Source organism: Homo sapiens, chromosome 8, assembly GCF_000001405.40.
Source record: "Homo sapiens chromosome 8, GRCh38.p14 Primary Assembly".
Taxonomy (NCBI): domain Eukaryota; kingdom Metazoa; phylum Chordata; class Mammalia; order Primates; family Hominidae; genus Homo; species Homo sapiens.
The window spans coordinates 515,075-531,195 of record NC_000008.11 but is presented as its reverse complement, the minus strand read 5'-3'; the positions used below and the strand labels follow the sequence as shown (position 1 = coordinate 531,195).

At 38.6% G+C, this 16,121-nt stretch overlaps 1 protein-coding gene across 4 annotated transcripts in view; it reads left to right on the top strand.

Moving 5' to 3' along the window:
- Positions 1 to 16,121, top strand: part of TDRP (testis development related protein) — a 55,835-nt gene that overhangs the window by 14,585 nt on the left and 25,129 nt on the right. Inside the window, exon 2 of one of the 4 annotated variants that reach the window (XM_047421392.1) lies at positions 1 to 16,121. This exon is cut by the window's left edge and continues 12,887 nt beyond it. The exons of the other annotated variants lie outside the window; for them this stretch is intronic. Coding sequence (XP_047277348.1) covers positions 15,984 to 16,121 — 138 coding nt within the window. The 5' untranslated portion in view covers positions 1 to 15,983. 4 annotated transcript variants of the gene reach the window in all.

Here is a 16,121-nt window from a genome sequence, read left to right as displayed (position 1 = left end):
ATTGAAGTAGGAGAAAAAAAAAGCCATTTAATTTCACCTGCCTTTCCCTGAAGGTGGCACAGCTTGGCATGATTGGTAGTAAACACCCAACTCTCTGCTGGGTAGAAAGTGAAGAAAGGAAGTCCACCATTCTGAATTTTGGGGGGTCACCTGATGGACTGGTTTCTGTCTCTCCTGACTCAGTGCTGACTGGGAACTGGCATACTTTGGATGCCTGGGGGCTTCAGAGAAAAAAGAGTTAACTGGCTTTTTGCAGCATCAGAGACTCAGCAGTGCTGCGGATGGAGGTCGGGACAGCTCAGCACAGTCAGGAGAGAGCGTGTGGTTCTTGGCTTATCCCTTGGGCAGGAATGGGAAGAGTGGAAAGTGCATTTAACATTCTGGCTTTTCAGGGGGACTGCCCAAGAGACTGATTCCTGTTTTGCCTGACTCAGAGCGCTGAGAGAACCAAGGGTATGTTGGATGTCTGGGGGCTGCTGAGAACAAGCGAGAGCTCCACAGCCTGTTGCCCTGCCAGACAACTTGCAGTGCCACAGACAAGCACCAGAGGGATCGAGAGATTACAAGCAACTGAAAAGAAACTGGCAGACCTCTCTAATTGGGACATTCCATGTACAAGCCCAGAGAAGATTCATCCCCAGAAAAGGTTTGAGAGGCCCCAGAATCTCTAGCTGAGCTGATTGGTGAAGTTCTTCTCCTGTACCAAGCCAGTCCATAAAGACTGGGAGAGGTGGCTGTTTTTTCAGATACCCCAAATCCCAGCAAAAAAATAATGAGACATATGAAGAAACAGAGAAATATGGCCCAATTAATGGAACAAAATAAATCTCCAGAATTTGACCCTAGAGAAACAGAGATAAATGAATTATCTGACAAAGAATTCAAAATGATCATCTTAAAGAAGCTTAGTATGCTGTGAGAGAACAGAGATAGTCAAGCAAATGAAATCAGAAAAAATGCAATAACAAGAATATCAACAACAAGACAGAACTATAAAAAAAGAACCATACAAATTCTGCATCTGAGAAATAACTGAATTGAAAAATTAACTAGAGGGATTAAAAAGCTGACCCAGTCATGCAGAAGAATCGTCAAACTCAACAGCTCATTTAAATTCATCAAATCAGAAAAAAAAAATGAAAAGTAAAGCCTAAGGGATTTATGGCACACCATTGAGTGGACCAATATACATATTGTAGAAGTCCCAAAAGGAGAAAAGGGAGTAGAGAGCTTATTTGAATAAAGAGTGGTGCAAAACATCCCAAATATGAGGAAGAAAATGGACATCCAGATTCAAGAATCTCAAAGGACTCCATGTAGGAAGAAACCAAAGAAAGGGTAAAGAAGCCCACACTGAGAAAGATTTTAATCAAATTGCCAAAAGTCAGTGGTAGAGAATTTTGAAAGAAGAAAGAGAAAAGCAACTTGTCATATAACAAGGGAGCTCCCATAAGATTATCAGCAGATTTGTCAGCAGAAACATTACAGTACAAAAGGGAGTGGGGTGATACAGTTCAAGTGTTGTTAAAAATAAAAATACACCCAGCCAGCCAAGAATACTGTAGCTGGCAAAACCATCTTTCAAAAATGAACAAATAAAGACCTTCCCAGATAACCAAAGCCAAAGAAGTTCACCACCACTAGATCTACCTTGTAAGAAATGCTAAAGAGATTCTTTGAAGCTGAAGTGAAAGGATGCTAAATAGCAATATAAAAGTATATGAAAAAACTCTCTGGTAAAGGGAAATATGTGGACAAAAACAGAATCCTATAATATAGTAATGGTGGTGAGCAAACAACTTTAAATTCTGGTATAGAATTAGACAAAAGCATAAAAATAACTAAAACTATGTTAATAGATAAAAATATAAAATACTCGATTTGGTTTTTTAATTTTTAATTTTCGTGGGATCATAGTAGGTGTGTATATTTAGGGGATGTGATGGTTAATACTGAGTGTCAACTTGATTGGATTGAAGGATGCAAAGTATTGATCCTGGGGTATGTCTATGAGGGTGTTGCCAAAGGAGGTTAACATTTGAATCCTTGGACTGGGAAAGGCAGACCCACCGCCAATCTGAGTGGGCATCATCTCATCAGCTGCTGGCACAGCCAGGATATAAAGCAGACAGAAAACATGAAAAGGCTAGACTGGCCTAGCCTCCCAGCCTATATCTTTCTCCTGTGCTGGATGCTTCCTGCCCTCAAACATCAGACTCCCAAGTTCTTCAGTTTTGGGACTCGGACTGGCTTCCTTGCTCCTCAGCTTGCAGACATCCTGTTGTGGGACCTTGTGATTGTGTGAGTTAATACTACTTAATAAATTCCCCTTTACACACACACACACATATATACACACACATATATACACACATATACACACACACATAGTTATATATAAATAAATATATGTATATATCCTATTCTATTCCTTTAGAGAACCCTGACTGGTACAGGGGTACATGAGATTTTGATACAGGCATATAATACATAATAATCACATCGGAGTAAATGAGGTATCCATCACTTTATGCATTTATCCTTTGTGTTACAAACAATCCAATTATACTCTTATTTTTTAAAAGTACAATTATTTAATATTATTGGCTGTAGTCATCCTGTTGTGCTGTCAAGTACCAGATCTTATGCTAACTATATTTTTGTATGTTGATGTTGATGGATACTTAGGTTGCTTCCAAATCTTGGCTGTTGTGAACAGTGCTGCAATATATATTGGAAGCACAGATATCTCTTTGATATATTGATTTCCTTTCTTTTGGGTATATATCTAGCAGTGGGATTGCTGGATCCTATGGTAGTTCTATTTTTAGTGTTTTGAGTAACCTCCAAACTGTTCTCCATAGTGGCTGTACTATTTTACATTCCCACCAATAGTGTACAACGGTTTCCTTTTCTCCACATCCTCACCAGCATTTGGTATTGCCTGTCTTTTGGATAAAAGCCATTTTAACTGATGTGAGTGATATCTCATTGTAGTTTTGACTTGCATTCCTCTGATGATCACTGATGTTGAATACCTTTTCATATACCCATTTACCAATTATATGTCTTCTTTTGGAAAATGTCTACTCAGGTCTTGTGTCCATTTTTTAATTGGATTATTAGGTTTTTTCCTATAGATGTGTTTGAGCACCTTTTATATTCTGATTCTTAATCCCTTGTCAGGTGGGTTGTTTGCAGATATTTTTTCCCATTCTGTGTGTTGCCTTTCCATTTGTTGATTGGTCCCTTTGCTCTGTAGAGGCTTTCTAATTTGATGTGATCCCATTTGTCCAGTTTTGCTTTGGTTACCTGTGCTTGTGGGGTATTAAGAAATCTTTGCTTAGTCCAATGTCCTGGAGAGTTTCCCTGATGTTTTCTTTTAGTAGTTTCGTAGTGTGAGGTCTTAGATTTAAGTCTTTAATCCATTTTGATTTGATTTTTTGTGTGTGTGTATGGTGAGAAATAGGAGTCTAGTTTCATTCTTCTGCATGTGGATATCCAGTTTTCCCAGAACCATTTATTGAAGAGATTGTCCTTTTCCCAATGTATGTTCTTGGTATCTTTGTAAAAAATGACTTCACTGTAGATGTATGGATTTGTTTCTGGGTTCTCTATTCTCTTTCATTGGCCTATGTGTCTTTTTGTGCCAGTTCCATTTGGTTACTCTAGCTCTGTAGTATAATTTGAAGTCGGGTAACATGATTCCTCCAGTTTTGTTCTTTTTGCTCAGGATAGCTTTGGCTATTCTGGGTCTTTTGTGATTCCATATACATTTTAGGATTTTTTTTTTCCATTTCTGTGAAGAATGTCATTGGTATGAATGGGATTACATTGAATCTGTAGATTGCTTTGGGCAATATGGATATTTTAACAATAGTGACTCTTCCAGTCCATGAACATGAAATATCTTTTCATTTTTGTGTCCTTTTCAATTTCTTGCATCAGTGTTTTATAGTTTTCATTGTAGAGATCTTTAACTTCTTTGGTTCAGTTACTTCTTAGGTATTTAATTTTTTTTGTACTTTTTTAATTTTATTTTTTCAGATTGTCTGCTTTTGGTGTATAGAAATGGCAAGTGTTTTTGGTCTGTTGATTTTGAATTTGTTTATTAGTTTTAATAGCCTTTTGGTGGAGTCTCTCTAACTCTGGGCCTCAAGCCATCCTCCCATCTCAGCCTCCCAAAATGCTGGGATTACAGACATGAGTCACTGTGCCTGCCCTATTTGGTTGAGTCTTTAGGTTTTTCCAAGTATAAGATCATGTCTGCAAACAAGGATTATTTGATTTCTTCCTTTCTAGTTTGAATGTCTTTTATTTTTTTCTGGTGTCTGATTGCTCTAGCTAGGACTTCCAGTACTACGTTGAATAACAGTGGTAAAAGTGGGCATCCTTGTCATGTTCCAGATCTGAGAGGAAAGGATTTCATTTTTCCCTTCAGTATGAAAAATAGAGGAGAAGGGAATAAGTCCAAAGCTATTCTACAAGGCTAGTATTGCCCTCATATAAAACCAGACTAAGACATACCAAAAAGAGAAAACCACAGGCCAATATGATGAACATAGATGTAAAAATTCTCAATTAAATACTGGCAAACCAAATTCTACAACATACTAAAAAGATAATTATGATCTTTTTATCCCAGGGATGTGAGGATGGTTCAGTATATGCAAATCAACCAACGTGATACATCATATCAACACAATGAAGGACAAAACCCATATGATAATTTCGATTGATGCTGAAAAAGCACTTGATAAAATTCAACATCTCTTCATAATAAGAACGCTCAAAAAACTGTATAGAAGGAACATAACTCCACATAATAATAGCCATATGCAACAGATTCATAGCTAGTATCATACTGACAACCCAGTGGTGCATTTTAAAGAACTAGAGTCTGGGCATGGTGGCTCACATCTGTAATTCTAGCACTTTGATAGGCTGAGATGGGCAGATCACTGGAGGCCAGTAGTTCAAGACCAGCCTGGCCAACCTAGCGAAACCCTGTCTCTACTAAAAATACAAAAATAAGCTGGGCATGGCTACAACAAATACTGCAGAAATTCAAAGGCTCACTAAAGGCTACTCACTAAAGGCACAATAAAGGCATATTGTGCAACTATATGCCAATAAATTGGAAAATCTAGAAGAAATACATACAACCTGTGAAGTTTGAACCATGAAGAAATCCAAAACCTGAACAGACCAATAACAATAAGATCAAAGCCAGAATAAAAAGACTTCCAGCAGAGAAAAGCCCAGGACCCAATGGCTTCACTGCTGAATTCCACCTAACATTTAAAGAAATACTAATAGCAATTGTACTCAAACTGATTGGAGAGTTTCGTCCATTTACATTCAGTGTTATTGATAAATAATGACTTACTCCTGCCATTTTCTTACTTGTTTTCTGGTTGTTCTGCGGTCTTTTCTTCTTTCCTTCCTTCCCGTCGGTGATTTTCTCTTGTGGTATGTTTTAATTTCTTTTTATTTTTTGTGTATCCATTGTATGTTTTTTGATTTGAGGTTACCATGAGGCTTGCAAATAATATAACCCATTATTGTAAACTGATGACAATTTAACACTTATTGCATTAAAAAACGAGCAAAAACTAGTAAAAACTCTACAGTTCCACTTCATCCCCCTGATTTCTCTTTGTTGTTTCCATGTATATCTTATTGTATTACATCTTAAGAAGTTATTTTTAATTGGTTTGTCATTTAAAGTATAAACTACATAAGATATGAGTACTTTAACAGTATAATACAGTGTTATAATATTCTGTTTTTCTATGTACTTAGTATTACCAGTAAGTTTTGTACCTTCAGATAATTTCTTCTTTCTAATTAACATCCTTTTCTTTCAAATTGAAGAATTCCCTTTAACATTTCTTGTAGGACAGATCTGGTGTTGGTGAAAATCCTCAGCTTTTGTTTGTCTGGGAAGATCTTTCTCCTTCATGCTTGAAGGACATTTTTGCCAGATAATCTAGGGTAAAAATGTTTTTCCTTCAGCACTTTAATTATGTCATGCCGCTGTCTCTCTTGACCTGTAAGGTTTCCACTGAAAAGCCTGCTGCCAGACCTATCGGAGCTCCATTGTATGCTATCTGTTTCTTTTCTCTTGCCGACTTTAGAATCCTTTCTTTATCTTTGGTCTTTAGGAGTTTGATTAGTAAAAGCCTTGAAGTAGTCTTGTTTGGGTTAAATCTGCTTGGTGTTCTATAATCTTCTTGTACTTGAATATAGATGTCTTTCTCTAGGATTGAGAAGTTCTCTGTTACTCTCCCTTTGAATAAACTTTCTACCCTTCTCTCTCGTTCTCTACTTCTTGTTTAAGGCCAATAACTCCTAGCTTTGCCTTTTTGAGGCTATTTTCTAGATCCTGTAAGCAAGCCTCATTGTTTTTTATTCTTTTGTCTCATGTCTCCTCTGACTGTGTATTTTCAATAGCCTGTCTTCAAGATCACTAATTCTTTCTTCTGCCTCATCAATTCTACTTTTGAGACTGATGCATTCTTCATATGTCAGTTTAATTTTTTAGCTTGTAAATTTTTCAGAATTTCTGCTTGATGTTTTAAAAGCTTGATGTAAGAACACTTATTTCAATCTCCTGGTCAAATTTATCTGATAGGATTCTGAATTCCTTCTCTGTGTCATCTTGAATTTTGTTGAGTTTCCTCAAAGTAGTTATTTTGAATTCTCTCTGTGAAAGGTCACATATCTCTGTTTCTGAGGCCTTTAGTTTGTTTGGTGAGGTTATGTTTTCCTGGATGATCTTGATTCTTGTGGATGTTCGTGTGTGTCTGGGCATTGAAGAGTTAGTAATTTATTGTAGTATATGCAGTTTGGGCTTGTTTGTACCCATCCTTCTTGGGAAAGCTTTCCAAGTATTCAAAGGGACTTGGGTGTTGTGATCTAAGTTTTTCGTCACTGTATTAGGGGCACCCCAAGCCCAGTAATGCTGTGACTCTTGCAGACCTGTAGACATACCAACTTGGTTTTGGTTAAGATCCAGGATAATTCCCAGGATTACCAGGCAGAAACTCTTGTTGTTTTCTCTTACTTTCTCCCGAACAAATGGAGTCTGTCTGTGCTGAACTGCTGGGAACTGGGAGAGGGGTGACACAAGCACTCTTGTGGCCACTGCCCTGGGACTGTGCTGATTCAGACCAGAAGCTAGGACAGCTCTGGATCTCGCTCAAGGCCCTGCTATAACCACTGCCTGGCTACCACTTTTGTTCGCTAAAGGCCCTAGGGCTCTACAATCAGCAGGTGGTGAAGTCAGCCAGGCTTATATCCTTCCTTTCAGGACAATGAGTTCCCCCTGGTCCCTGGATGTATCTAGGGATGCTGTCCAGGAGCCAGGGCCTGGAGTCAGAAACCTCAGGAATCAACCTGGTGCTCTATTCTACTGCAGCCTAGCTGGCACTCCAGCCACTAGACAAAGTCCTTCCCACTCTTCCCTCCCCTTTCCACAAGCAGAGGAGCCTCTCCCCTTGGCTACCACTGCCCCAGGCCCTCGGAGAGTATTGCCAGGCTATTGCCGATGTTAACTCAAGGCCCAAGGGCTCTTTAGTCAGCTCGTGAATGCTGCAAGGCCTAGGACATATCCTTCAGGGCAGTGGGTTCCCCTTTGGCCCAGGGCAAGTCCAGAAATGCCATCCAAGTAGGAAGGCCTGGAATCAGGGACCCCAGGAGCTTGACTGCTGCTATACCCTACTGTGGCTGAGCTGGTACCCAAGCTGATTTTTAGTTCTTATAAAGGTGATTTTTGTGTAGATAGTTGTTAAATTTGGTGTTCCTTCAGGGAGGATGATTGGTGGAGGCTTCCATTCAGCCATCTTACTCCACCTCCATTCCCCCCGAAAAAATTAATTTGTGATAGGAATAGCATAAAGGGGAGACATAAAGTAATACATTTATATGCGGGGTTAAGTTAAATTATCAGTTTAAAATAGATTATTATAACTATAAGATGTTTTATGTAATCCCTGTGATAACCAGAAAGAAAATGCCTAGGGGATACAGAAAAGAAAAAGGAATAAAAACATTTCACTACAAAATATTAAAGGAAGTCAGCAAGAGAGGAAAAGAGGGTCAAAATTACTACAAGACTTAAAGAACATAATTAACAAAGTGGCAATAGTAAGTCCTACCCTATCAGTAATTACTTTCCATGTAAATGGATTAAACTCCCCAACCAAAACTACGTGTGGTTTAATCGATTAAAAAAAGATCCAATCACATGCCACCTACAAGATACTCACTTTAGATATAAGGATACACGTAAGCTGAAAATATGGAAAAAGATTCCATGCAAGAGATATTCCATGTTCTCTACTAAAAGGGAGTAGGAGTGGCCTACTTATATCGGATAAAAGTCAAAAACTGTCACAAAACACAAAGAAGGACTATGTAATTGCTGTGGGATAATTGAGGAATCAGAGGCAGGGGTTGAGGAGGAATTATTTAATTATTTAGGTGCACCGAGTCAGTCGGATTAACATCCAAAGGACTGAGCCCCAAACAAAGAGTCAAGCTACCTTTTAAGCATTTCATGGGGCGGAGGGAGATCTGTGCGGGGCAAAGCATATTACAGAAGCGAGAAACAAAGACAGTTATTTAATTAAGACATGCATTACATTATTTCTTACTTTTCAAGGAACAACATGTTTTACGACTTGAGATTATCTGTCTAGTGACCTTAGAGCTGCACAGCTAGAGAAACAGAGTCTTCACAATGCATGGCAAAGGGAGAGATGAGTCTCACTAGCCACAGAGAGAAAAACAGGCAGTTAATTTTAAAGGACTCCAGCCCTTTCTCTTCCTCAAGGGGAATTGGGTTTTCTTACATACAACTGAGTTTTTGCTTACACAGTCTTTAATTTCTTTTAATTCCTGTTCCATAATGACAAAGGGGCCAGTTCACCAGGAAGATATAACGGTTATATCTGCATCTGACAGCAGAGTGCTCAAATGTGTGACATAAACGTTTAGAGGATTGAAGGGAGACATAGTAGCACAATGTAAATAGGGGACTGTCTGACCTTGTATGTAGAGAACCCTAAAGATCCCAAACACACAAAAAATGTTACAGCTCATGAACAAATTCAGCAAGGTTGCAGGATACAATATCAACATGAAAAGTCAGGCACATTTTTACACTAATAATGAAAAATCCCAAATGGAAATTAAGAAAACAATTAATAAAACACTTATAATAGCATCAAGAAAAAAGGTACTTAGAAATAATGAAGGAGGTGAAAGACTGAAAAAATATAAAACATTGCTGAAAGTTATTAAATAAGACATAAATAGACAGCCCATGTTGATGGTTTGGAAGACTTATATTGTTAAAATGTCCATATTACCCACAGCAATCCACTGGTTCAATGCAAATCTCATTGGCATTTTTTTTGCTGAAGTAGAAAAGAAATTCTAAAGTTCATATAGAATCTCAAATGACCTGAATAGCTAAAACAATCTTGAGAAAGAAAAAAACAAAAACAAAAACTGGAAGCCTCACACTTTCCAACTTGAAAACAAATTATACAAGTACAGTAATGAAAGCAGTATGATATTGGCATAAACACGGACATATAGAACAATGGAACAGAGTAGAGAGAAATAAGCCCTCATGTATATGGTCACATGATCTTAAACAGGGCTGCTTGGATTACACAATGGAGAAAAGATAGTCTCTTCAACAAATGCTGTTGGGAAAACTGGATATTCACATGCAAAAAATGAAGTTGTATCTTTTTTTGTTTTTTGGGACGGCATCTCTCTCTCTTGCCCAGGCTGGAGTGCAGTGGTGTGAGCTCGGCTCACTGTAAGCCCCGCCTCCCGGGTTCACGCCATTCTCCTGCCTCAGCCTCCCAAGTAGCTGGGACTACAGGCGCCCACCACCACGCCTGCCTATTTTTTTTTTTTTTTTTTTTTTGGATTTTTAGTAGAGACGGGGTTTGACCGTGTTAGCCAGGATGATCTCTATCTCCTGACCTCATGATCCGCCTGCCTCGGCCTCCCAAAGTGCTGGGATTACAGGTGTGAGCTGCTGCTCCCTGCCAAAGTTGGATCTTTAACACCTGTACAAAAATTAATTCAAAATAGATTAAAGACCTAAATCAGAAATTATAAAACTCCTAGAAGAAAACGGGAGAAAAGGTTCAGGGCATTGGATTTGGCAATGATTTCTTGGATATGACACCAAAACACAGGAAAAAGCAAAAATAGACAAATTGAAGCATATCAAAATTTAAGACTTACATGTAACAAAGGAAACAAGAAAGTAAAAATGCAACGTTTGGAATGGGATAAATATTTCTCAGCCATATCTCTAATAAGGGGTGAATATCCAAAATATTTAAAGAACTCCTATGACCAAACAACAACAAAAAACCTGATTAAAAAATGGGCAATGGACTTGAGTAGACGTTGGTGCACAGAAGATACACAAATGACCTATAAGCATATGAAAAGATGTTCAACGTTGCTAATCATCAGGGAAATACAAATCAAAACCATGATGAGATGTCACCTCACAACCATTAGTATGGCTACAATCAAAAAAGCAAAATAACCAGTGTAACCAAGGATGCGGGGAGATTGGAACACCTGTGCACTGTTGGCAATCTTGTAACAATGATTTAGCTGCTGTGGAAAACTGTATAGAGATTTATCAAAAAGTTAAAAATAGAATTATATGTTTCAGCCATCCCACTTCTGTGTATATATCCCAAAGAAAGGAAAACAGGATCTCAAAGAGATTTGCACACCCATGTTCATTACAGCACCACTTATAATAAGAGGAGAAGCAGCCTCCATGTCTGTGGATGGATTAATAGATAAGGAAAATATAGTACATATGTTCAATGGAATATTATTCAGCCTTAGAAAAGAAGGAAATCTGATAATATGCTAGTATATGGATGAACTTGAGAATATTATGCTTCATGAAATAAGCGAGGCACAAAAAAACAACTAATGCGTGGTTCTACTTACATGAGGTATTGAAAGTAGTCATGTAACTGAGCAGCTTGGCTTCAAACCGTGTTTTAAAATGTTTTCTTTCCACTTTTCTCCCCAACCACAGGATATAACTTTGAAACAAAACTGCCTATGTGTTTCCTTTCATTTTGAAATACAGCTTCTGAACGTGCTGTGACCTCCATTCCCTTTCTTTCCCATTCTGTGCCTTACACGCATTTATTTAGCTGGATGCCGGTAAAGCACATAAATTGCCCACTTATCTGGTCATATATTTCCTTAGAAGCTTCAGGGGCCAGATGCTGATTCGGATCAGACACCTCTGGCCACAGTGGCGCCAGCCCCTTCACCAGGTGGAACAATAATTCAAGATGAGCCATCAGGGTGGGTCACATACCACTTGACAATGCCTCGCCCCACTGCCTCTTCTGCATTCCAAACCCTGTCTTTAAAAAGTACGTTCCCTCCACAAATTGAAGAGTAGATTTTTTCACTCTCTTTTAGTCACACCTCATTATTATTTTGGGTTCTTTTTACAAGCAGTGAGCAACCCAACCCTTTGAGGGTTACAGCAAACTCTTAGAGAAAGCAGAATGGTGGTCACGAGGGGCTGAGGGTGGGGGAGAGGGGGGTTTTTCAGTCTGTATATAGAGTTTTACGAGATGAAAAAGTTTTAGAGATCTGTTGTACAACAGTTTGCATGTAGTTAACGCAATTGAACTCTATACTTGAAGGTAGTTAAGATGGTAGAGTTGATGTCATAGGTATCCATGCTACCCTTGCTTCTACTCAGCTGACTCTAAAGTGGGGGTTTCCCATGACTCTCTGTCATGTCCAATAGTTTACAGAACTCCAGAAAGCTCATTTTTCAGGATTGCTGGTCACTTGAAAGGATACAGCGGAGGAACAGCTCAACAGAAGAGAGATAGCAAAGGGGAAGGCATGGGGAGGGCACACAGCGTCCATCCCTCTCAACATGCATGCTCTCAGCACATGGATGGGTTCACTAACCTGGAAGCTCCAGAACTCTGTCATTTAGCTTTTTAAATGGAGGTTTCATTCCCTAGGCATGACTGATTAAATCTTTGGCCATTGGTGACTGGATTCAATCTCTAGCCCTCCTTCTCTCTTTGGAGGTCAGAGGAGGAGGTGGGTGTGGGGCTGAAAGTTCTAGTCCTGAAATCAAGGTGTTGGCATTTCTGGTGACAGACTCCATCCTGAAGCTCTACCAGCCTCCTGTCAGTCATCTCATTAGTGTACGAAAGGCAGTAAATTCCAATACTTTCAGGAACTCTGTGTCAGGAACCAAGGATAAAGACTAAACATTGAGTTTTTTATACCATACTCCAGTATTTGATTTGTTAATAAATTTGTATGAATTTCAAATTAGACTTTCTATTAAGATATTTATGTAAATGACCTTTTAAGCTAAAAAAAAAATGGTGGAATCTATTTACTTTTCCAATTTTTTTTCATTTGCCCTAAGGCTTAGAAAGGAATTTCTTTCCCTGAGATCAGATTCTTTTAGTTCCTTTATGGCTTCATTTAAAAGGAATAACTCTTTAACTGGTCGAAGTTACTTTGCTGTGAAGAAAAGATCCTTTTCTCTCAAAATAGTTACTCAGCTTTCCTAGACTTTTGTTCTTTTTCCTTTTTTGTCATGCACCTCTTACTGTATACTAAAATCTCTATATACATGGGTTTGTTGGGTTTTCCATCTGTTTTCTTTGTTCTTTTATATACTTTTATTCCATTTCTACAGTTGTCTTAGTGAAGTTTTCTAATACATTTAATAACTGGTAGCACAGGTTACCTTTTATTAGACTTATGTGTACCCATGCCTGTTGGCTTTGTTGTGTGTGTTATTGAGCCAGTTATTGTTGTCATCTTCTCTTTTTCAATAGACTCTTTTTTATAGCAGTTTCAAGTTCACAGCAAAATTGAAGGGAAGGCACAGAGTTCTTAGGTGCCTCCTGGCCCCTACCTTCCCTACCTTCCCTACCTTCCCTGCTACCAACATCCCTCTCCAGAGCGGTGCCTTTGTTAAAATTGACGAACATACATTGATGCATCATTGTTAGCCAAAGTCCATAGTTGACATTAGTGTTTACGCTGGGTGTTGTCTGTTCTGTGAGTCTGGATGAGTGTACGGTGGCACGTGTCCACCAGTGTAGCATCAGGCCTGGTGGTTCCACTGCCATAAGATTTAAAATTCCACTGTGCTCCACCTTTTCATCCCTCCCTCCCCTGAACCCTTTGCAACCACGGATCTTTTTACTGTCTCCATAGTTTTGTGTTTTCCAGAATGTCATTTGGTTGTAATTACACAGTGTGTAGCCTTTTCAGATTGGCTTCTTTCACTTAGTAAGATGTATTTGTTGGCAGAAAAATCCAAACTCTGTAAAATATTTGAATAGATTTATTCTGAGACACAATGACAATTTTGCTGTATAGCCTCAGGTGATCTTGAGAACATGTACCCAAGGTTGTTGGGCTACAGCCTGATTTTCTACATTTTAGGGGGACAAAAGTTACAGTTTTAAATCAATACATGTAAGGTATATATTGGTTTGGCCTGGAAAGGCTGGACATCTTGAAGTGGGGGCTTCCAGGTTGTAGGTGGATTTAAAGATTTCCTGATTGGCAGCTGGTTGGAAGGGTTAAGCTCTGCCTGAAGTCAGAAAGGAATGGAATGCTTGGGGTTAAGATAAAGGAGGTTGTGGAAGCCCAGGTTCTTGAAGCTTCCAGGTAGAGGCTTCAGAGAGAATAGATGGTAAATGTCTCTTAGCAGACCTTAAACGGTGTCAGATGCTTCGTTTAATCTCTCCTTGTTCAGGAAAAGACCTGGGAAGGGATGGGGATGCCCCATAGAATGTAAATTCTCCCCACAAGAGACAGCTGGGCAGGGCCATTCCAAAATATGTGAAATATATTTTGGGGTAAAATATTTTTATTTCCTTTAGGGCCTGCTGTCATGTGATGCTGTACCAGAGTTAGGTTGGAATTTGGTATCTCACTGATGCAAAGAGTCCCTTCTGTCAGTCTTAAGGTCTCTGTTTTAATGTTAATGCTCTTCAGTTTTGCCTGAGCGCCAAAGGGAGGAAAGTATAATGAGGCATGTCTGACTTCCTCCTTCCCATCACGGCCTGAACTAGTTTTTCTGGTTCCTCCAAGAGCAGAGTCCATTCAGTGCATCAGGAGGCTTAGAATTTTAGTTGGTTTATACATTTAAGATTCCTTCATGTCTTTTCATGGCTTGATAGTGCATTTCTTTTTAGCACTGAATAGTATTCTATCATCTGGATGTACCAGCTTATCCATTCACCTGCTGAAGGGCATCTTGGTTGCTTCCAAGTTCTAGCATTTCCGAATAAAGCTGCCATAAACATCCATATGTAAGTTTTTTTGTGGACATAAGTTTTCAAGTCATTTGGTTTCAAGTCATTTGGATAAATAGAACCGTGATTGCCGGCTTGCATGGTGAGAGTGTTTAGTTTTATAAGAAACTGCCAAACTGTCTTCTGAAATGGCTGCACCATTTTCCCACCAGCAGTGAACGAGAGTTCCTGCTGCTCCATGTCCTTGCCAGCATCTGGTGGTGGGGGTCTGGGTTTTGTCAGTTCTGATAGGTGTGTGGCAGTGTCTTGTTGCTGTCTTAATTTGCATTTCCCTGATGACAGATGTTGTGGAGCATCTTTTCAGATGCTTATTTACCATCTCCATGTCTTTGGTGAAGTGTCTGTTAAAGTCTTTTGCTCATTTTTTATAGGGCTGTTTTCTTATTGTTGGGTTTTAAGAGTTCCTTGTATATTTTGGACAACAATCCTTTATCAGATGTGCCTTTTCCAAATATTTTCTCCAAGTCTATGGCTTTTCCTCTCATTCTCTTGAATGTTTTATTTGTATTCCACATTCCTGAGGGACACGCCATAGTCCCAATAGTGATAGTAGCTCACTTGGGGGAGATTTTATGACAAGGGAATAGGTTAGATGTGAACCTCCTGAGACCTGTATGTTTTCTTCTCCATTCACACCACCACATTTAGGAACCGCTCTACCGGACCAGTGTAGTACTTTGAGGATAAATTATATATTTTTTTAATGTTCAGCCATCCATTCAGGCATTCAGGTATGATTTTTCTCTTTATTTATTCAAATCTTGTTTTTAATGTAATTTTTAAGGAAACTTGTAACTTGTTCTTTTGGACATTTTAACTATGGTTCTTGTGAATGGCATTTCTTTTTCTATTGTCTAACTGTAATAAAGCCATTTATTTTTTATTTCTTTTATATTCAGCCATTTTTTGTTAGGTCTAATCGTTCTTTGATGCTCTCCCATTTTCTAGTTATGTAGTCATTGTCTAAAAGTAATTATATAATCTATAATTCAGTTTATATATTTAGCACATACTTATTTAATTATATAGTGATAAAAATTATATTTTCCTTTCCAGTAACTGTAACTTTTATTTCTCTCTTATGCATTGTCTTGATTATAACTTAACAATTAATTGTCAGTAAGTAGTAATGTTAGAGGCTGCCCAATCCTCTTCCTGACATCAGTGGGTTGTGCCAACTAGAATGTCATTTATTTTGATAGTACAGGTTGAGCATCTCTAATCTAAAAATGTGAAATGCTCCAAAATTCAAAACTTTTTGAATGCTGACATGATGATCGACAAAAATGCCCATTGGAGCATTTTGGATTTTGGATTTTCAGTTTAGGGATGCTCAACTGGTATAATGCAAATATTTCAAAATCCCAAAATATCTGAAATCTGAAATACTTCTGGTTCCAAGCATCTCAGATAAGGGGCACTCAAACTGTACTTTCAGTGTGCTAATATAGACAACACTTTACATGCATAATGTATATACTCATAGTTTTAATCAGAGATTTCCTAATTTTACATTTTTTTCTGTCTGAATGATTGCTAAGTGAGCAGTTACAAAGTCATAGAAAAGATAGAGCAGAAAAGACACTGAGAATGAGGGGAAGAGAACCTATCAGTGTGCTTGTACTTGGATCTCTGGCTGTGCACAGAACATACATCAGTGCCGTCTTCTCTTTGGTGAACTTCAGGCCAAGGAGGCTCTGTGTGGATTCCCACAAGGTTACAGAACTG